General features: G+C 48.7%; 4 annotated features.

Moving 5' to 3' along the window:
• Nucleotides 8,952-9,451: an enhancer, noted in NCBI's record as "H3K4me1 hESC enhancer chr1:235191005-235191504 (GRCh37/hg19 assembly coordinates)". NCBI's record gives its function as "activates a minimal SCP1, AML or CMV promoter by ChIP-STARR-seq in primed H9 embryonic stem cells {active_cell/tissue: H9 hESC(primed)}" and the evidence as "EXISTENCE:reporter gene assay evidence [ECO:0000049][PMID:30033119]".
• Nucleotides 13,646-13,715: an enhancer, noted in NCBI's record as "active region_2789". NCBI's record gives its function as "activates an Ori minimal core promoter by ATAC-STARR-seq in GM12878 lymphoblastoid cells {active_cell/tissue: GM12878}" and the evidence as "EXISTENCE:reporter gene assay evidence [ECO:0000049][PMID:35858748]".
• Nucleotides 16,273-16,567: an enhancer, noted in NCBI's record as "tiled region #5019; HepG2 Activating non-DNase unmatched - State 7:EnhWF, and K562 Activating DNase matched - State 8:EnhW". NCBI's record gives its function as "activates a minimal TATA promoter and a strong SV40 promoter by Sharpr-MPRA in HepG2 and K562 cells {active_cell/tissue: HepG2 | K562}" and the evidence as "EXISTENCE:reporter gene assay evidence [ECO:0000049][PMID:27701403]".
• Nucleotides 17,281-17,330: an enhancer, noted in NCBI's record as "active region_2788". NCBI's record gives its function as "activates an Ori minimal core promoter by ATAC-STARR-seq in GM12878 lymphoblastoid cells {active_cell/tissue: GM12878}" and the evidence as "EXISTENCE:reporter gene assay evidence [ECO:0000049][PMID:35858748]".

Genomic DNA, 22,585 nt, shown 5'->3' with positions numbered 1-22,585 from the left:
TCCTGAGTAGCTGGGATTACAGGCACCCACCACAATGCCTGGCTAATTTTTTTTGTTTGTTTGTTTGTCTGTTTTTGTTTTCGAGACAGAGTTTTGCTTTTGTTGCCCAGGCTGGAGTGCAATGGCATGATCTCGGCTCACCGCAACCTCTGCCTCCCGGGCTCAAGCGATTCTCCTGCCTCAACCTCCTGAGTAGCTGGGATTACAGGCATGCGCCACCATGCCTGGCTAATTTTGTATTTTTAGTAGAGATGGGATTTCTCCATGTTGATCAGGCTGGTCTCAAACTCCCAATCTCAGGTGATCCACCCGCCTTGGCCTCTGAAAGTGCTGGGATTACAGGTGTGAGCCACCGTGCCCAGCCAATTTTTTGTCTTTTTAATAGAGAGGGGGTTTCACCACATTGGCCAGGCTGGTCTCAAACTCCTGACCTCAGGTGATCCACCCTCCTCGGCCTCCCAAAATGCTGGGACTGCAGGTGTGAGCCACCGCACCTGGCCTGGATGTCATTCTTGACTCCACTTTGCTGCCTTATTCTATCACTGAGTTCCACCTGCATGGTTCCCTTGGCCAGGGATAACGCCGTTTTTCACCCTCCTGACAGCTCCCATTCTTCCTGCAAAATCCTCACCTGATGTCACTATGGCTGCAAAGCTTCCCCAGCTTCCTCCCTAAGAGAGACGCCGTGGCACTTTTTTTTTTTTTTGAGACAGAGTCTCGCTCTGTCACCCAGGCTGGAGTGCAGTGGTGTGATCTTGGCTCACTGCAACCTCCGCCTCCTGGGTTCAAGTGATTCTCCTGCCTCAGCCTCCTGAGTAGCTGGGACTACAGGTGCACGGCACCACGCCCGGCTAATTTTTGTATTTTTAGTAGAGACAGGGTTTCACTATGTTGATCAAAATGGTCTCCATCTCCTGACCTCTAGGAGGCAGGCCCGATCCGCCCGCCTCAACCTCCCAAAGTGCTGGGATTACAGGCATGAGCCACTGCGCCCGGCCCAGTTGTACTTTTTTGACATATGTATGTCTTCTCTTATTTTCCCCATTGCTCTATTGCCATTCTTTGTTTTTCTGCTGCTCACTTGCTGGATATAAACATCCTGAGAGCAAGAACTGCTTTGGCACATTTCAGTTTCTAGCACAGTGCATAGCACATAGTAGACCCTCAATACATGTGTGGAAGTGAGCCCTCCAATATTCCAGGTAAGTTACAAAGGGGCCTGGTTATTAGGGCCTCTTCATGGCTAGTGATGGTCAAAGAGAAAAATCGGGCAGGAATCCAAGAAGCACGGTAGCCCTCTTTTCCCCTTTTCTAGGCATCTGGCTGTGCCTGCATTTCCTTTTGTGGCCAAAACATCAGAGCTTGAGGTTCAGCTTTGTCATTTCCTGACACTCTGAAACTCTGACCCTCTGAGTTTCATTTTGCCAAAGGACAAGATCCTAGAGGATAATGCAGTCTCGAGCATTCTGTGACCGTCAGACTCCAGGGCCCTCCTCATGCCCACCCTCTCTCAGCAGCGTGCATGAGTGTGGCATGTGCAAGTGTGTGCAGTGTGCCCTGGGTGTGCACATGCTGTTTGCAAAGGCAGACCAAGGTGTCTAGAATGCCGTTTCAGTTGGCCATGACTAGATGCATCCACAGCGGTGTTTCTTTATTGGGGCGATGGCTGAGAAAGGAAATTGCATTGTTTTGGGGCTGTCTCAGGAAGGACATTTGATACATCCACAAAGTTTAGCCTTCCAAGTGGCCTCCACTTTCAGCCAGTGCATTGGTTGGCAACTCCTGGGTAGGAGTCCAGGTTACTGGGGAAGGGAAGTGGAGGGTCTGTAGGAGGATGGGGGTCCAAGAGAGCTGTAGAGCCAGCAGGCTGCCCTTCTGTGCTGTTCCAGGTGAGAACTGCCATCATCACACACTGGGAGGTTCAGTCATGGCTGTTAGCCGGGGCACAAGCCAACAGATGTATCAGCAACCTGAGATGGCATGGCACCTGGATGTGCAGCCCGGAAGGGGTGTGCATGTGGAGGAAGGGACTCGGGCCCAGCTCGGCTGCGGGCCTCCACAGTACCTGTTGGGGGTGGGGCTGGTCTTGAGTAACCCCTGAATGGACTTTACCCTGAAGCCGGTTTGTGTAACTCCCGTAATTAGCTAACTAGGTTAGTCATTGCTTACGCCCTCCTGAGTCCTCAACCTTTTTTTATTTTTTCAGGACGATCTCTATAAACAGGTCATACAATATGCCACACGTTTTCTGCCAAATTCCTCTGCAGATACTTGACTCCATTTTGCGTATTCAGGTGGCTCCAAGGCAGGCCACCTTCTCTTGCTGAGTGTCCTGACCTAGGGGTGATTTCACCGGTGGCTGCAGCCTTTCCCGCCCAACCTGGTTTTACTTAAGGGATAGACTGTGTTATTTTTTATTTTTTGAGACAGAGTTTCGCTCTGTCACCCAAGCTGGAGTGCAGGGGCATGATCTCGGATCACTGCAACCTCTGCCTCCTGGGTTCAAGTGATTCTCCTGCCTCAGCCTCCTGAGTAGCTGGGACTACAGGCACCCGCCACCATGCCCGGCTAATTTTTGTATTTTTAGTAGAGATGGGGTTTCACCTTATTGGCCAGGCTGGTCTTGAACTTCTGACCTTGTGATCTGCCCACCTCGGCCTCCCAAAGTGCTGGGATTATAGGCGTGAGCGACCGTGCCCAGCCTAGACTGTGTTATTTTGTTCACCCATGTATACCTTTATTCACTCCCTCCTGCCCCAAATGTTATTGAACATCGACTAAGCCAGGCACTCTGCAAACTGTATCAATCTAACTGAGGCTCCATCCCCAACCTGGAGAGCTTGTAAGCTAAGCACTATTAAAGGAGTTCCTGTATGAACCAAATCCTGGAGTCCTCCACACAGTTATTGATGCAGAGTTGCTCAGCATCTTTCATAGAGAAAATGCAGTCACATCCAATCTGTCATCAATAATATGAAATACTTATTTTGCTTATATTCAATATCATCAGAGGATCATTCAGAACAGGTGCTACCTAGATTTAAGACTCTTGGTGCTGTCATTATAATCAAAAGCACCTAACGACAGCCCACACATGCTAATGCAAACATAATAATATTAGTGCTTTTGGTTAAAACACGGCTCAGTGAAAGATTTCTGCAGGCCAGACGTAGTATGCAAGTGAAACTTTATTTTTAAACCCTTTGAGTAGCCCAGTGAAACAAGAATACTGTAATAAAGGTTATGTGCAGAGTGGAAACTTATCCCAGGGGTTTCTCCCACAATACACCTCACCTGGGTAAACATACATTTGCATATCAATGCATGGATTACAGACTTTTCCTTTTCTGAGAAAGAGAAGGTACCCTGTTACACACACAGGAGACCAACAGCCAGGAGCTTTCAAGTCCCATGCAATCTGAGAACAGAGGACTTAGGTCTTCAGAGCCCCAGAGGCCAGTCCTCTATAGCAATCTCTCTCTTCTTTCTCTTAGTGCATGGGGATTCTGTTTTGTAACTCGCCCCGCCTTCAGAGATGGCCTACTCCCATCTGGGAGGCTGTGCTGGCTTCTGCAGGAGCCAGCCAGATTTTGAAATTGCATTTGGAGCCAGTCACTGTAGAAAGGCTGGTTCTTGGAGGGGAAGAAAGGTGGCTTTGATAGTTATTGATGAGCTCACCAGGTAGGAATGGGACCTTTCAAATAGGGCAAATTAAATCCCAGGCCTTGAGCTTGGGGCCTGGGATTTGCTGCTGCTGCATTGCAAAGAGCAGGTGGGCAGGCTCTGGGAGTATCAGATGCACAAAGTACAGGTGAACAGGTAACCAGATTGGTATCTCTGCAGGTGCCCTGAGGCTGGGAAACAGCACTGGCGGGGTGGAGAGGCAGCCTGCAACTCGGTGTCCCTCTTGCCTGAAGCAGCCAACAGGTTAACCCAGGTCTGTTCCTGCAGGACTGACATGCGCTGGTTCCAGCCGATGAAAGCAGATGCAAATCAGTGCAATTTCCTCTGCAGCAATAATTAACCCACGGGAACCTTGCTGGAGCAGGTAGTTTCAGGAGAATGGCACTGAAGATGTTGGAGAGAGATTAGCATTTTTCAGCTCTCATCGCAGTGATTTGCGCTGCATTTTAGTGTGTATTCAGTTCCAACTCATTACCATAAAAAAAAAAACCCTCATACATTAAATTGCTAGGCAGGGGGAATCGACTTTGTTTAGGTAGATAGAGAGCCTGGGATGCTAGTGGACATTGCTGGAGAACTGGCCGTGAAAGTGTGTCCTCAGTTTCCTGATTTGTCATGGGAGGAACTTGGCCTCTCCAACCTCTAGAACCAGTCCAGCTGGCAACCTACTATTCTGTTTCCTTCCTTCCTTCCTTCCTTCCTTCCTTCCTTCCTTCCTTCCTTCCTTTTTATTTGAGATGGAGTCTTGCTCTGTCTCCCAGGCTGGAGTGCAGTGGCGTGATCTCAGCTCACAGCAACCTCCGCCTCCCGGGTTCAAGCAATTCTCCTGCCTCAACCTCCTGAGTAGCTGGGATTACAGGCGCATGCTACCATGCCCGGCTAATTTTTGTATTTTTTTTAGTACAGACGGGGTTTCACCATGTTGGCCAGGCTGGTCTCAAACTCCTGACCTTGTGATCCGCCTGCCTAGGCCTCCCAAAGTGCTGGGATTACAGGCGTGAGCCACTGCCCCAGGCCTGTTTGCTTTTATGAATTGGAGGACTGCCTGGGCCCAGGGAAGCCGCTATTCATCTGCCTAAGCTGTAGCTGTTGGATGACACAGGATCCTCATCTCAAGTTGCTTTGAGGACAAGACCACTTTCTTGGGCCCCTCTGCACGTGGGCAGTCCTTCCATGATGACAGCTGCCCTGTTATGGTGGGATTACTTTGGAGGGTGGATGTGGCCCAGGGAAGTGTGTATTCTCAGTGGGCAGGCCTTCTGTTTTGATCATTTTGTAGCCCAGCATCTAACACAAGGTGCTCGTGACTCAAGACCTTATGTAAAGAGGGAGGGATGAACACAAGGAAGAAAGTTCCCCAGAAATCCTTCCTTACACCTGAACCGATTCCTTCCTATATGTCCTCAGCTTGAGTCATTTTCTGTAGCTCCCTCTTATTTCCATCAGATACTTGGATACATTTTAAATTGTATCCCCCGAATATCAGTGAGAGAAATCACATCCATGATCTACACTGCATTGACCAGGCCATCCAGACAGAGAGCGGGGATGGCTTGTCTCCCAGGGCAGTGGTGCCACGTGCCAGCCTAGAGGTTTCGGTTTACCTGCATGCACCACGGTCCCTTGAGAATCTGTGCCCTTCCCCTCCTGGTAGGGGATGCTTGGAAAGGGTCAATCTGAGGCCCTTGCTTTCATGAAGGGCCTTGAGGCCCACAGCCAGGCTTCTAGAAATCTAGAATTGACCCTGGTTTCCAGAATGACCAGTTTGCATTTCCTTTATCTGCACAAAGAAGCGGATTTCTTGGGGGTCTTCTGGGTGTGAGCGTAGTGAGTGTGAATGCATCAAGGTGCCTAAAAATACAAGGACAGATGCCAAATATAAGCATTTTTACCTTGAAGCTGCCTTGAATTGAGTTTCGCAGGAAAAGTGTATTAAAATAATTCTTAAAAACTTGGAGCTCTTAAATGTTTCTATTTCTGGGGGGTGGGGGATGGGGATAACTGTCTCCACTGCCTGCCTGCCTTCTTTCCTTCTTTCCTTTTTTTCTCTTTCTCCTTTCTTCCTTCCTTCCTCCCTCCCTTCCTTCTCCTTCCTTCCTTTCTTTCCTCTTTCTTTCCTCTTTCTCTCTCTCTTTCTATCTTTCTTTCTTCTTTCTTTCTTTTCTTTCTTTCTCTTTCTTCTTTCTTTCTTTCTCTTTCTCTCTCTCCTTCCTTCCTTCTCTCTCTCTTTCTTTTTTTTATAAAGTATTTTAAAAATCAGCCTGGCCAACATGGTGAAACCCTGTCTCTATTAAAAATACAAAAATTAGCCGGGCATGGTGGCAGGTGCTTGTAATCCCAGCTACTCAGGAGGCTGAGGCAGGAGAATCGCTTGAACCTGGGAGGCGGAGGTTGCAGTGAGCTGAGATTGCGCCACTGCATTCCAGCCTGGGAGACAGAGCGAGACTCCATCCCCCCCCAAAAAAAAAATGTTAAATGCAGTTTCATTAGGAGACCCCTTAGAGCCGGATTGTGAGCACAAATGGAGGTGCTGGTTCCAACATGGAAGGGCAATTCCTGGTTATGAGGGTATCATCCAGACAACCCACAATAAACCGTAATTTTTTCGTACTACTAACAAAAGGCAAAGATAAAATGAAAAAAAAAATCCATGAGAAAGAATGTGGAGTGATCTGAGCATGTGCTTGAGAAGCAGCAGCACACGCTCTGAAAATCAGGACTGCATTTCTGGCTCTGTCTTGTAAGGGTATGTGGCTTTGGGCAAATTACTTGACTTTGTCAAGCCTCAGTTTCCTCATGAGGAGTAAAACCAGGATTATAATAGCATATCCCTCCTAGGCTTGCTGTGAGGAATAACTCAGAATTACATAAAGTGTGTCATAGAATGTCCTGTATGTAGGAAGCACCAAGGCATGGGCGGGAGATGAGATGCCCAGCCCTGAATGATCACAGGACCTCAAGCTGAAGAGGACCTCAGAGGCCATGTAAGCCAGCTTGATGGATAGACCTCAGGGGCCAGGAAGGCTCAGGGTCTGCCAGGGGGCCCAGAGAAAGCTGGCGGAGTTGCTGAAACCAAGCACCATGGCTCCACACTCTCCCCAGGTGGCACGAAGCAAGCCTCGTGTCTTCTCTTCATTACAGTCTGCCTCTTTGTGCAGGAAGATCACCTGTGTTTGAAATGCATTTTGCTAAATAGGCATCATAGAAATTCTGATGCTTTGGTGACTCCTCAAATTCAAGACCACCTCTGTAGCATATGACCCCCTCCAACAATGTAGGAAGACAAAACTGGCAGCTGTGAGACACGGTTTCCATGCCATGATGTGCGAATACAGGACCAATGTCATTTACACAACCCGCTTCTTTTTTTTTTTTTTTTTTAGACGGCGTCTCACTCTGTCACCAGGTTGAAGTGCAGTGGCGTGGTCTTGGCTCACTGCAACCTCTGCCTCCGGCTACACAACCCGCTTCTGACCTTCAGAGCTTGCTGGACTGCTTGCCTTCCTTCTCACTTCCACTGCCACCACCAGCAGCTAGCTTTCTTTTGGGGGCCATTTTTACACAGAAAAGCAAGTGTGTACCCCTTTATGCATATTACTGTGTTGCAAAAAGGACCAGAGTATAGCAAGGCTTTGGGGAGGGGAGGAGTCTGGGTGGTTAGTTAGGTTCACCCTCTAGTTGTGTGGCTTCCGTCTCCTGCCTGATTCCAGCGGGGCCACAGCTGAATGACAGACTCTCACACTTGTAGGTGACTGTCCGCAGAGCTTAGGTTATGCTGCAGTAATAAGCAAGCCCCAAATCTCAGTGGCTTAAAAAAGCAAAGGGTTTTTTTTACTGGTGATGTACATCTAGCGCAGGTCAGCAGGCGGCGCTGGTCATGGCAGGGACCCAGGTGGTTGGAGGTTCCATCTTGACTCATCCTTCCATGATTGCAGGGATGGCACTAAAGGGAAAGTGCTGAATCACACACTGGCTCTTAACACATCCACCTGTGAGTGACACCTATCACTTCTGCCAGCATCTCATGGCCAAGACTTGTCTCACGGCCACACCTTACTTTGAAGGGAACAGGGAAGTAAGTACATGCCTACCACATGCCCAACAAAAGAACAGAAGGGAAGAAGAAGTGGAATATTTGTTCGTTTATTTATTTATTTTTTGAGACAGGGTCTCACTTTGCTGTCCAGGGGCTGGAGTGCAGTGGCTTGATCATAACTAACTGCAGCCTCGAACTCCTGGGCTCAAGTGATCCTCCCATCTCAGCCTCTTGTGTAGCTAGGTCTACAGGTGCACACCGCCATGCCTGACTAATTTTTATACAATATTTTAATAGAGATGGGGTCTTGCTGTGTTGCCCAGCCTGGTCTTAAACTGTTTTTTTAATAGCTAGTCAGGTGTGGTTATTTTGGGAGACAATGTTAAATCAGCTTAACAATAACCTACAACACTTGGACCAACTATGTCTCAAATTTCTGACCTCAAGCAAGCCTCCTGTCTTGGACTCCCAAAGGGCTGGAATTATAGGCCTGAGTCACCACATCTGGCCATATTTATTCTTAAAAAACCCCTAACTCTTTATGAAATTTTAATTGATGCATAATAAAATATGCATATTTAAAGTCTACAGTTTGATAAGCTTGACACACACATATGCCCATGAAACCACCACCCCCACAATCACAATAATGAATATTCCATCACTGCTGGAAGTTTCTTTGGGATCCTTTGCCATCTCCACACCTGTGACATCCGTACTCCTCAATCCCCAGACAAACACTGATCTGCTTTCTGCTGCTGTATAGATTAGTTTGCATTTTCTAGAATTTGATATAAATGGAATCACACAGCATGTTCTCTTTTGGTCTGGCTTCTTTCACTCAGCATAATTATTTTGAGATTCATCCATGTAGAAGAGGAATATTTGTGATATCTACCACAGCAGACTTTTGGATTAATGGACTTTATTCTTTCCAATAAGTTAACTGATGTGGGTTGAATTCTGTCCCCCTCCACTCCCAATTCATATGTTGAAGTCTTAATCCCCTGTACCTAAAAACGTGACCCTGTTTGGAGATGGGATCTTTATTTTTATTTTATTTTATTTTATTTATATATGTATATTTTTGAGACGGAGTCTCACTCTGTCTCCCAGGCTGGAGTGCAGTGGTGTGATCTCAGCTCACGGCAACCTCTGTCTCCTGGGTTCAAGTGATTCTCCTGCCTCAGCCTCCTGAGTAGCTGGGGTTACAGGCGCATGCCACCATGCCTGGCTAATTTTTGTATTTTTAGTAGAGATGGGGTTTTGCCATGTTGGCCAGGCTGGTCTCAAACTCCTGACCTCAAGTGATGCACCCTCCTCGACCTCCCAAAGTGCTGAGATTACAGACGTGAGCCACCGCACCTGGCCTGGAGATGGGGTCTTTAAAGAGGTAACTAAGTTACAATGAGGTCGTGAGGGTAGGTCCTAATCCAACGTGATGGGTGTCCTTATAGGAAGGGGACATTTGGCCACAGGCGGCTGTGAAGGGAGAACTTCATGTGAACGTGTAGACCTGCACGCCGAGGAGGGGCCTGGAACAGATCCATCCTTCACAGCCTCGGAAGGAACCAACCTGCTGGCACCTCGATCTCAAATTCCTGCCTCCAGAACTGGGCGACAAGGCGTTTCTGTTGTTGAAGCCACCCAGGCTGTGGCACTTTGTTATGGCAGCCCTAGTGAAAGAATTCAGTCACTTTTATTTCCAAGGGAAGCCGAGTTAAATGAGCTCCCTCAAGAGATCTTCCTGCAATATTTGGGACGTGTCTGTGTGTGCGTGGACAGGGCCGTCTGCAGGCGGACCAGCATGCGGCGCTGGCAGGCACCTCCTGTGTCACCCTTCAGGCATCCAGGGAAGGAAGCAGATAAAATGAAGCTCTTCATGCCCCAAGTTCCATTTCTTCTTTGGAATGCTCGAAGGCTTCCCAGCTGTTCCGTGTTCAGGCCTGGCTTTCGAGAGGCTTCAGGCCGGAGGGGGGAAGGTGGCTGAAGCTGGTCCTCGGTCTCTTCGAGCCCCTCAAAGAACTCTCTGGGTGCATTAGAAACCATCCTTGTGCTGCTGGCAGCAGTTGCCATGCTGCTGAAGAATGGTGGCAAAGCCCAAATGGAAAAGGAGTCTTCTGTACTCGTGGCTTCCAACCCCAAAGAACAGAAAGCCAGGGCCCTCATTCTCCTCTGAACTGTTATCTGGATGGTTCACCAGGAGCACAGCTCCTGTGTTCCTCGCTCGCTCCCCCTGAAGGCCCTGAAGACCACATGATGTTGCCTGCCACTGTGGGAGTGACACGCTCCCCTGGTCTCAGCCTGGACGGGTCCTGACAGGTTCAGTGAGAGAACAAAGCGTCATTCTGAGGGTGAGGAATTTCACTCAGCAGCAAACATGTGTTGCGTGTCTGCTTTGTCTCAGACACCGTACGATATGCCGTTACATTTACTCCATTTCATCCTTGTGACAATCCTGTGAGATAGGAATTCCCATGTCCACCTAAGAGATGAGGAAACCGAGGCTCAGAGGGACAGGGAACATACAACTGGTGAGGGGCCAAGACGGTTCTAGAACATCCATCTTTTGGCATCAAGGAGAGTACATAGGAATCACCTAGCATGTTACTGGGAGGTCCAGACACTCAAATGTGAATTTGCTTCTCTCTCTAGAGAGCTACCAGATTTAGCAAATAAAAGGGCAAGACGTTTAGTTAAATTGGAATAGAATTTCATGTAAACAATGAATACTTTTTTTTTTTTTGAGACAGAGTCTCACTCTGTTGTCTAGGCTAGAGTTCAATGGCAGGATCAGAGTGCACTGCAGACTCCATCTCTTGGGCTCAAGTTATCCTCCCACCTCAGCCTCCCAAGTAGCTAGAACTACCAGGTGTGCACCACCATGCCCAGCTAATTATTTTATTTCTGTAGAGATGGGGTCTCACTATGTTGCCCAGGCTGGTCTCAAACCCCTGGCTTCAGCAATCCTCCCACGTTGGCCTCCCAAAGTGCTGGGATTATGGGTGTGAGCCACCATGCCTGGCCAACAAATATATATTTTTTGGGTATATGTTCCATGCAATATTTGGGATGTATTTATACAGAAAGGGTATTCATTGTTTATCTGAAGTTCACATTTAACTGGGTGTCTTGTGTTTATCTGGCAGTGCTGCTTCCAGGTGAAGCTTGTAGTTGGTTTAGTGCTGAAGGAGCCTTCATTTGCTGAGGCTGGGACTATATTCAGCTTTACTCATGAACTCTGCGGGCTCTCCAAAACTCTTTCTGAAATCAGCCTCACTATCCACAGTTGAGGTTACCAGGACTGTCAACCTGAGGAGAATCAGCTCTTCCACACTGAGCCCTGAAGATCACATGGCAGAGTGAGCTGGAGCGAGGTACCAGCAGACCTCTTAGGCGGGGCATGCACCCCCCGCAGTGTCCCATGTCCCCACTGTTCCCTGTGGCTATATCCATTCCACTTGACTTACTTTTACTCCTTGTCCAGGTCCTTGTGGCATTGTTCTTTCTTTTTTGAGACAGTCTCACTCTGTCACCCAGGTTGGACTGCAGTGGCACAATCTCGGCTCACTGCAACCTCCGCCTCCTGGGTTCAAGCGATTCTCCTGCCTCAGTCTCCTGAGCAGATGGGATTATAGGCGCCTGCCACCACGCCCGGATAATTTTTGTATTTTTAGTAGATACGGGGTTTCACCATGTTGGCCAGGCTGGTCTCAAACTCCTGACCTCAGGTGATCCACCCACCTCAGTCTCCCAGAGTGTTGGGATTACAGGCGTGAGCCACTGCGCCTGGCTGACATTGAGTTTTCAACTCTTCATCTACACCATATGTCAGAGCATTTCCTTCTTCTTGCAATGACAGCAAAAATACTGAGGCTTCAATTACTTACCCTCCTCTATTTCTGTTTTATTATCTCTCCCTGTCGCCATTTCCATGCACTGATGCCCACGCACAGGTTGTAGGAACCAACTAGTATGTTGCTGGGAGGTCCAGACACTCAAATGTGAACTTGCTTCTCTCCCTAGAGAGCTACCAGATTTAGCAAATAAACAGGCAAGATGCTCAGCTAAATTTGAATTGAATTTCATATAAACAATGAATACTTTTGTTTTCTTGAGATGGCGTTTTGCTCCGTTGTCCAGCTAGAGTGCAGTGGCGAGATGATGGCTCACTACAGCCTCCATCTCTGGGGCTCAAGTTAAGAGCCCTCCCCCATGGCTCAGCCTGCCCTGAGGCCAGTCCTCGTACATGGCACATGGCCGCCTTCAAGACATCTCCAAGAAGCCCTCGCTGAGAAGTCCCCTGGTGCACACACAAAATCACATTGCCATTTAGTTGAATTTCTTCATTGTATAGGTTAAGAAATGGAAAATGTGACTCTCAAGGATTATACACAACTAAAACTGTGTGAAACTGCAATGAGTACCCGGGCAATAGGGAAGTAGGAATTTCTCACCAACCCACGTGCCAGGATCCAGCCTCAACACTTGTGAGGATCCAGCCTCAACGCTCTGCACATCTCCAGTGTGGAACAGCACCATGCGCCTAATGAGTTCTTCTCTGACTGATTGATTGATTGATTACTAAAACACTCAGCGCTCCTGGCAAAGCAGTTCTCACTCTGTTGAACAAATTATCTTTATGCACTGCAGTCTCTTGAGCTTAGATGAAGGCAAGCTCACTGTAATCTTCAGATCATTTAGCAATGTCTTGGAATCACTGGATATGACAAAATATCCAGGCATGTGGAATAGGAAGGGGGAAGAAAAGCAGGACTTGGAGGGACTATGCTAGTGGATTTCAACTCTATATTTTCTAATCTGAACCAGGGGCAGGCAAACTACTGCCTTGTAGGCCAAATCTGGCCAGTGGCCTGTTTTATTACTGATTGATTGATTGACGGGGTCTTGTCTTGCTCTGTCACCCAGGCTGGAGTGCATTGGCTTGATCATTGCTCACTGCAGCCTCGAACTCTTGGACTCAAGCCATCCTCCCACCTCAGCTGCCCAAGTAGCTAGGACTACAGGCGTGCACTGCAACGCCTGGCTAAAAAATATATATATATATATATATATATATAATTATTATTTATTATTTTTTTTTTTTGTAGAAATGGCATCTTGCTGTGTTGCCCAGGCTGGTCTTTAACTCCTGGCCCCAAGCAATCCCTGACTTTATGGCACTTGCTCAGCCTGGTGTGACAGTGTCTGTCTCCTGGAGGCCAGGAGCCCCTGGCATGCAGCCAGCATGCCCCATTTATAATCGTAGCCCAGCACATGGAAGGGACCCAAGAGAATGACAGCAACGTTGGCTTTGCCATTTCAACCCTGAACCTCATTTTACTGTTCTATTCATATTATCTGGGGGACAAAATTTTCCCACATTCCTTTCTGTTGGTGCCACCATCTCTGTGCCTCCATGTGCTGCTGACCTGCCAAGCCCATGGCCAGCTCAGCACTCGGATTTTATTTGGTCTCTCGGTATGGGTTCCTTTATCAGCATTTCAAAAAGCTTTTGTGTTTTATCCATAATTGATTAAAGTTTGTAGCTGTGAATAAAAGATTGATTAAAAGCAACAACAGCAAAACAGCTCTTGTTTTTCTTCACCATCTGCCTTTCCCCAGAAGAGTCTCCCACCTCCAAGCAGACAGTCCTCGACGTGGATCCACACAACCTTACAAGTTTTCCTTAGACCCAAGAAAGGGAGGTGTGGGGAATGATCGTTACTTGCTGATACTTACTGATATTGCAATGCCAGCAATAAGAATACCATCTGGACTTTATCTGTGGTTGGTGTGTTTCATTTTGCATTTTATGTGATGGGTGCTGGGATTTGGACAGGCCAAAGCTCCCACCCTCGCGTTTCTCAGTGTACTGGGAAATGACATCACCTATGACAGGGCACTATGATTAGCAAGGGGAGGGGAGGGGCCAGACCTCAGCCCAGGAGTGGGGCTTGGGGCAGGCCCCTAGGGAGAAGCAGTGGCAGTAGCCAGAGCTGGGCTTGGTGTCCCGCTCAGACAAGTGGTGCAGCCAGCTGCAGGATTCACACTCACGTCCTCTGGTAGTAAGCTCTGCTCTCTGCCGGCCCTGACTTCAGAGCAGTGCTGAAGCCGGGCAGTCCTGAGGCACAGCCATATGTTTACAGCTTCTATTTTTTTATTTTTTTTAAGATGGAGTTTCACTCTTGTCGCCCAGACTGGAGTGCAATGGCATGATCTAGGCTCACTGCAGCCTCCGCCCCCCTGGGTTCAGGCCATTCTCCTGCCTCAGCCTCCTGAGTAGCTGGGATTACAGGTGCATGCCAACACGTCCAGCTAATATATTTTTTTTTTTTTAGAGACGGAGTCTTACTCTGTCGCCCAGGCTGGAGTGCAGTGGCGCGATCTCGGCTCACTGCAAGCTCTACCTCCCAGGTTCACGCCATTCTCCTGCCTCAGCCTCCAGAATAGCTGGGACTACAGGCGCCCGCCACTGTGCCTGGCTAATTTTTTTTTGTATTTTTAGTAGAGACGGGGTTTCACCGTGTTAGCCAGGATGGTCTCGATCTCCTGACCTCGTGATCCGCCCGCCTCGGACTCCCAAAGTGCTGGGATTACAGGCATGAGCCACCGCGCCCAGCCTAATTTTTGTATTTTTACTAGAGACGGAGTTTCGCCACGTTGGCCAGGCTGGTCTCGAATTCCTGACCTCAGGTGATCCACTCGCCTTGGCCTCCTAAAGTGCTAGGATTGCAGGCGTGAGCTACTGTACCTGGCTTTTTTTTTTTTTTTTTTTGAGACAAAGTCTCTCGCTCTGTTGCCCAGGCTGGAATGCAGTGGTGTGATCTCGGCTGACTGCAACACCGTCTCCTGGGTTTAAGCAAATCTCCTGCCTCGGCCTCCCGAGTAGCTGGGATCACAAGCACCCGCCACCACACCTAATTTTTGTACTTTTAGTAGAGACAGGGTTTCACCATGTTGGCCAGTCTGGTCTTGAACTGCTGACCTCAAGTGATCCGCCCGCCTCGGCCTCCCAAAGCGCTGGGATTACAGGCATGAGCCGCTGCACCCAGCCACATATTCACAGCTTCTATTTGAAGGATCTCAAAACCACAGGGAGTGCAGCAGTGCACACCAGCCCTCTCCCCCACCTCCCTTTCCCCACACTCACATTCCTTCCCTTATGCCCCAATCACTGGCTTAGTCAGAAAGACCATTTTAACCTGAGAGTAAACGAAGGAAAGGGATACACAGTCTACTGGCTTCTGTCGCCTCACATTTTAATAGAGGCTTCAAGCAACAATTACCTATGGGATATGTCTGAGAGGCACTACAGAAAGGGGCAGAATTATCTACCAGCTTGATAAATGATACATCTCTCAGGACTTTTGGAGGAGAACCAGCTCCATGCTGCAGGAGCCGTGTGGAGCTGGGCTTTACTGCCAGGGCCTTGTCCTGGATGCTGGAAGGAACCAGAAGATTCAAAGTAGAGTCAGGGTCCTGGCCACCAGTGCAAGGCAGGCCACATGACCATCGACACTGCCACCATTGCCACCAGCCCCAGTGCAGCCCTGGGAAGGAGCTTGTTTTCTCCTCCTGGGGGACTGCTGCTCTGGTAGGAGACCAGAGGCAAGAGGAGTCCATTCCGGGCTGTGGGGTACCTGCCCTGTCTCCCTCACAGAGTGCCGTAAAACAAAGCAGCATCATGCATAAGCCCATGTTTCCAGCAGTTTATCAGAGCCTCAGATGTGTGGTGTAGATCCCATCGCCTTGAGGCTCAGGAGAACCAGCAAGCGTGTAGTGCCCTGGGCGGGGTCCCAGCTGACCATGATCCCCATCTCTGGCATCTTTTTTATGGGTCTCCCCTTGTTTTTTTTTTTTTTTCAGACAGAGTCTCGCTCTTGTCGCCCAGGCTGGAGTGTAGTGGCGCGATCTTGGCTCACTGCAACCTCCGCCTCCTGGGTTCAAGCGATTCTCCTGCCTCAGCCTCCTGAGTAGCTGGAATTATAGGCACCCACCACCACCACGCCCAGCTAATTTTTGTACTTTTAGTAGAGATAGGTTTTGCCATGTTGGCCAAGCTGGTCTTGAACTCCTGATCTCAGGTGATCTGCCTGCCTCGGCCTCCCAAAATGCTGGGATTACAGGCATGAGCCACCGCACCAGGCCTGGTGTTTTTTTTTTTTTTTTTTTTTTTTTGGAGACAGAGTCTCACTCTGTCACCTAAGCCAGAGTGCAATGGCATGATGTCGGCTCACTGCAACCTCCGCTTCCTGGGTTCAAGCGATTCTTGTGTTTCAGCCTCCCAAGTAGCTGGGACTAAAGACATGAGCCACCACGCCCAGCTAATTTTTTTGTATTTTTAGTAGAGGCAGGGTTTTCGTCATGTTGACCAGGCCAGTCTTGAACTCCTGACTTCAGGCGATCCGCCCGCCTTGGCCTCCCAAAGTGCTGGGATTACAGGGGTGAGCCACTGCGCCCGGCTGCCCTTGGTTTTAATGTGGACGCCTTGTGCTTTTTGCTCAGTATTCCTGGCCCCGGTGATCACAGGGGTTGTGAATTATGGATACAGCAGCAACTGTTTTTAATCTCCCATGAAACAAAACCAGTGTGTCTTCTGCCCCGGAGGCCGCGGGTGAGGAAGGGATGGCAGCTGCTGCGATATGGCTGCCTCGGGCTGACGTCAATGCGAGTCATTCCAGGCCAAAGACTCCACTCAGGAAGCTTAAAAGTGATACTGAAAACAGATTTGCATGTTTTCCTTTCACGGGAACTTGGCTCCTCTCAGTTCCACTGAAGATGTTTTCACCAGCCTGTGTGCAACCGGTGTGTGGAACGAGCACAGCTTGCAATGCAATTGGAAGGCGACTTTAGCTTTTGTCCTGTGCTGCCCCTCTGAAGTTTATTCAGCCGGATTCATGTTCCCAGACCCTGGCAGGCTTGGACTTTTCTGCTCCTCTTAGGAAATAGTCTGTCTGATGGTTGCTTTAAATGGAAACAAAACAAAACAAAACAAAACAAACAAAAAAAACCAGTCTCCATTTGGAATTTCAATGTCCAGGCCAAGATATTAGTCAAAACTTCAAACCATTCTTCTTGCTCCAGCTGAGGCTGCTTAGGGCTGGAAGTCTGCATGGGAAAGGGATGAGGCTGGCTTCTGTCCTTTCCTGTGGCTCCTTGTGCCCCTTCTCCCAAGGTTGGAGCTGGGTGAGGGGTTTTAGGGCCCAGGACAGCTCTCACCCGAGTAGGTGCATGGGCAGCTTGCTGTGCATCCTTTGGGTCTGGCTGTGGTTGAAAGCTGCCCTCTCTCCTGCCGGGGCTCCCATGTGGGTCTGCACTTCCTGGAGTCTCTTATTGGTGATCATTTGAGACTCTTTGCTTTGGTCCCTTGGGTTTACCTCGAGCTTTTTGCTGCTAGGGTTTCTGCCCCTCCAGGTGGTCTTATAGGTCAGGCCCCTAGCAGACCTCATGCTGGTTACCTCTCTGTGTGGCTTCAGCTGGTTCTGACCCTCTTGTGTGGCTTGCCCCCGCAAGCTCTGGGAGGGAGGCCAACCCCAACCCACTGCATGCTCCTGGTTCTGGCATCAAAGCAGGCAGGGCCAGACATGGTGGCTCACTCCTGTAAACCCAGCACTTCGGGAAGCTGAGGAGGGAGGATCACTTGAGGCCGAGAGTTCAAGATCAGCAACATAGTGAGACCCCATGTCATTACAAAAATAAATATTATTATTTTTGAGACGGAGTCTCACTCTGTTGCCCAGGCTGGAGTACAGCGGTGCGATCTCAGCTCACTGCAACCTCCACCTCCTGGGTTCAAGCAATCCTCTTACCTCAGCCTCCTGAGTAGCTGGGATTACAGGCATACGCCACCATGCCCAGCTAATTTTTGTACTTTTAGTGGAGATGGGGTTTTGCCATGTTGGCCAGGCTGGTCTTGAACTCCTGACCTCAAGTGATCAGCCTGCCTCTGCCTCCCAAAGTGCTGAGATTACAGCCTTGAGCCACTGTGCCCAGTCCACACACACAAAAATTTATTTAAAAAAACCAGGCAGGACCAGGTGTGGTGGCTCATGCCCAAAATCCCAGCACTTTGGGAGGCTGAGGCTTGTGGATCACCTAAGGTCAGGATTTCGAGACCAGCGTGATCAACATGGTGAAACTCCATCTCTACTAAAATACAATATTAGCTGGGTGTGGTGGCACATGCCTGTAATCCCAACTACTTGGGAGGCTGAGGCAGGAGAATTGCTCGAACCCAGGAGGCTGAGGCAGGAGAATTGCCTGAACCCAGGAGGCAGAGGTTGCAGTGAGCCGAGATTGTGCCATTGCACTCCAGCATGGGCAACAAGAGTGAAACTCTGTCTCATAAATAAATAAATAAATAAATAAAATAATTTAAAAAGCAGGCAGTAGTCATCCTGTACATTAGTTCCCTGTGGTTCTCTAACAAATTACGACAAATTACGATGCTTAACACAGAAATTTATTCTTTCACAGTCCTGGAGGACGGAAGTCTAAAACCACGATCAGGGGGCTGAAATCAAGGTGTGGGCACAGCCCTGCTCCTTCCGCGGCTGTCGAGAGAATCCCCAGCTTGCTGATTCCGGCTCGTGGTGTCTGCCGACAACCTTTGGCCTGTGGCCGCATCACTCAGTCCCCACCTCTGCGTCACATCACCGTCTCCTCTGCATTGGGCAAACCTCCCTTTACCCCTCTCTTGTAGGGAAATGGCTAACTGCATTTAGGGTTCATGTAATCTCATTTAGGGCTAATCCCGGATAATCTCCCCATCCAGAGATCCTTCATTTAATCACATTGGCAAAGACCCTCTTTCCAAATAAGGCCACATTTATAGGCTCCAGGGGTTAGGCCTGACACGGTTGGGGCTTTCATCAGCCTCCTGCAGCCTGACACCCACCGTCTGGATTTCCTGGATGGTAAGGGCTCTGGCCTTCTCTGCCATCAGTGAGAGGGAATCCCAGGGTGAGCTCTCTGAGAAGCTTTGTGGAAACCCACGAATTTGAGGTGAGGGGAGGCCCCCACTTCCCTTCAGGAAGCACAGCTTTCTCCACAGAGACACCCCTCAGGCAATCTTCTCTTCAAAATCATGTCTCTCAACTGGCCCACTCTTTATATTTTTTGGTGGGGATGGTGAGAAGGCTCACAGGTTGTGGATCAGGTTCTAGACTATTTCCCGTCCCATTGAAAGTAGCTTGGAACCCAAAGCATCACTTTGAACACTCTGCTACCTTTGCTGTGGAGTTCATAGTGGTTGATGCTGTCCAGGGCTGTGTGGGCTCTAAGGCTGTGCAAACTGTGAGGGCTGAAATCTGCCTGATGAGCCTGGTGCCCCAGCCACGGGGTGCCTCATTTGTGGGGAGCATGGGCCCCTCTTGTGAGCAGAGGGGCTGCCTGTGGTTCCCTCTGGGCTCTACCCTGGACGCTGATCTCGTCCCCTTCTCACACAGCCCAAGGACCTGCCAGTGGGTGGCTGGTGATGGAGATGCTGCAACGTGACCACGGAATGCTAGTGATGAATGATGCAAACTCACTTCATCCTCTGGATTTTCAGCGTGCAACTGCTGTGCTGATATAGCAATCTCCTACTCTGTGGGTTAGTAGATCGTCATTCAATAAGGAGTCAATGCTTGTGTAAACCAAGCAGAGATGGACAAGCTGGTTTAGAAAGAAAATGTACTTCTCATCTTGCAAAATGTGGCCCAGCTTTTAGAGGGGGATAAAAAACAGATTTGTTTGGAAGGTTCCGGAATGTTCAGATAATAAATCCTTTTATCTACTTCTTCCACCTTAGCAGCGAAGACAAGTGGCCTGTCTGTTGACTGCCAAAATAGGGAATGAAAAATCAGAAGACCTGGCTACATTCTAAAGATGTGGGCGTGCTGGTTCACAGGAAACCCATTTGTTCACAGGGTTACCTGTGAAAACTGCAGTTCATAGAAGAAACTGACAAATATCAGTAAAGATATCATTCAAAATGACAAAGTCATCACAGGCCGAGATTGTTTAGGGATCTACCAGCATGGCTTGATTATTTTTTTCTTTACTAAAACAGTTCCATCCCCCGTTTTGCCACTCCCAAACCCGCACCAATGACTTGAAAGAAAATTTGTGTCTTCTCGTACTCACTCCCAACTCATCTTATTTTTGATTCTTGGGTCCATAATGTCACTGGCTCAGATGAGTGAGCCTAAGTCTCTCTTACATGGATAGTCCTGGGGGGAACTGGGGAAGATTTGGGACAGCCTTGGGGGCCAAGCTTTCTCTAGGATTATCAGCCTGAAGACTGTTCCCTGCAAGGGTTGCTGTAACAAAGTACCACAGACTAGGGGGCTTAAATAACAGAAACTGAGTCTCTCCTATTCCTGGGGACTGGAAGTCCAAGATCAAGGTGTCAGCAGGATCAGCTCCCCCTGCAGCCTCTCTCCTTGGCTTGCGGATGGTCCTGTTCTCCCTGTGTCCTCATGTGGTTGTCCCCTGTGTGTGTCTGTGTCTTTTTTTTTTTTTTTTTTTTTGAGACAGAGTCTCGCTCTGTCTCCCAGGCTGGAGTGCAGTGGTGTGATCTCTGCTCACTGCAACCTCCGTCTCCTGGGTTCAAGCGATTCTCCTGCCTCAGCCTCCTGAGTAGCTGGGATTACAGGTGCCCGCCACCACGCCCAGCTAATTTTTGTATTTTTAGTAGAGACGGGGTTTCGCCATGTTGGCCAGGGTGGTCTCGAACTACTGACCTCGTGATTTGCCTGCCTTGGCTTCCCAAAGTGCTGGGATTACAGGCGTGAGACACTGCGACTGGCTGTCTGTGTCATAATTTCCTTTTCTTATGTCAGTCAAATTGTATTAGGACCCACAGTAATGACCTCACTAAATCTTAACTACTCACTAAATCTTAAAACTACCCTTTTAAAGACCCTGTTTCCAAATATACTCACATTGTTAAGTACTGGGGGTAAGGACTTCAACGTATGAATTTTTTGGAGCGGGGAGCATAGTTTAACCCCTAACAACAGGTCCCAGGCACTTTTTTTTTTTGAAACCGAGTTTCACTCTTTTTGCCCAGGGTGGAGTGCAATGGCGCTATCTCAGCTCACTGCAGCCTCTGTCTCCCGGGTTCAAGTGATTCTCCTGCCTCAGAGTAGCTGGGATTACGGGTGTGCACCACCATGCCTGGCTAATTTTGTATTTTTAGCAGAGATGGGGTTTCACCATGTTGGCCAGGGTGGTCTCGAACTCCTGACCTCAGGTGATCTGCTTGCCTCGGCCTCCCAAAGTGTTGGGATTACAGGTGTGAGCCACTGTGCCTGGCCCCCAGGCACTTTACATGCATGATTTCAAGTAATCCTCCCAGTGATACCATAATGTAGATACTACTGTCCCCTTCTACATATATAATGAAAACAAGTCCCCCAAAGAATTGGCAACCTGGCCAACACCACACAGTTAGTAAATGGCAGAGACATGAGTCAAACCAGGTCTGTGTGCCCCAAGTCTGTGTGTGCTCTTCCGATTGCACTGTGCTGTCTGCTGTGGTGGTGGCTGCATGGTGTGAGATGTGGGAAGTAAGGAGGAGAAGGTGTTATATTATAAGTTGGCACTAAAAATAAAGCACTGGGGGTCACATGCCCATGCATAGCCAGCCCGGGACTTTCCTTCCCAGTCTCCTCTCCAATGCCCTATCGTATCCCCTTTCCCCTAGGTTGGCCCTTGTATTCACATCTAATCTCATTGTAGCTATTGGCAGCACCTGGAGAGGTTCCCTCTTCCTAGAAAGGAGGGGCCTCTGCAGGAATGGTGGGTGTAGAGAAGCAAAGAAGGATGCTCATGGCCATGGAGAGTCCGGTCCCTAACTCAGGCCTGGTGTGGGAAACAACCTGGCGGCTGGAGGACAGTCAAAAGAAAGAAGCCCATGGAAGACCAAGACCTCAGTGAGTGGGAAAAAATGACCACACCCACCTCCTCTCCTGGAATCCAGCCCCAGCCTGGACCAGGGCAGCTGAGTTCATACCACGGTCTCCCAGGTGTCAGGAGCTGTATTGTCCTCCTGCCCCCGGAATTCATAAGTTGAGGCCCTAACGCCTAGCACCTCAGAATGTGTATTTGGAGATAGGATCTTAAAGAGGGAATGAAATTAAAATGAGTCCATGAGGGTACACCCTAATTCAACATGACTGGTGTCTATCTCAGAAGACCAGATTAGAACAGCCACACGCAGAGGGAAGATCAAGTGAAGACTCAGAACGGAGGCGGCCATCTGCAAGCCAATGAGAAAGTCCTCGGAAGGAGGCATCCCTGCAGTCACCTTGGTCTCAGAATCCCAGCCTCCAGAAATGTGTAGATTAAGCCTCGCAGTCTGTGGCACCTGGTATACAAGCTGGTTTCTTCCTTTCTCAAAGTGCTGGGATTACAGGCGTGAGCCACCACACCCAGCCACAACTGACTTGTATCCTGATTTTGTGTTCAGAAATCTTGTTATACTCTTATTAACTCTAATAAGTTAATAATATATGTATATTATTTAGGGGAATTCCTTTGTAGACTTATGTCACCTGTAATATTAACGGGTTGTCTCTTCCTAAACCTCCTGTTATTTCTTCTTCTTGCCTTATTCCATTGTCTGACATCCTGTGAGACCTTTAGCATAATGTTGAAAGGAGTGGGGTTATCAGGCATCCTCATCTTGTTGAAGGCTCAGAGGGAAAGCCTTCAACATTTCAGTTTCTGATGTTTGCTATAGGCTTATTATTATTATTATTATTTTGTAGATCTCCTTTATCAGGTTAAGGAAAATATTTTTCTATTCCTAGTTTACTAATTTTTTTTTTTCTAATCATGAATGGATATTGAATCCTAGGAAACATCTTTCCTACA

Source organism: Homo sapiens, chromosome 1, assembly GCF_000001405.40.
Source record: "Homo sapiens chromosome 1, GRCh38.p14 Primary Assembly".
Lineage (NCBI taxonomy): Eukaryota > Metazoa > Chordata > Mammalia > Primates > Hominidae > Homo > Homo sapiens.
This window is presented reverse-complemented; position numbering and strand designations above follow the sequence as displayed.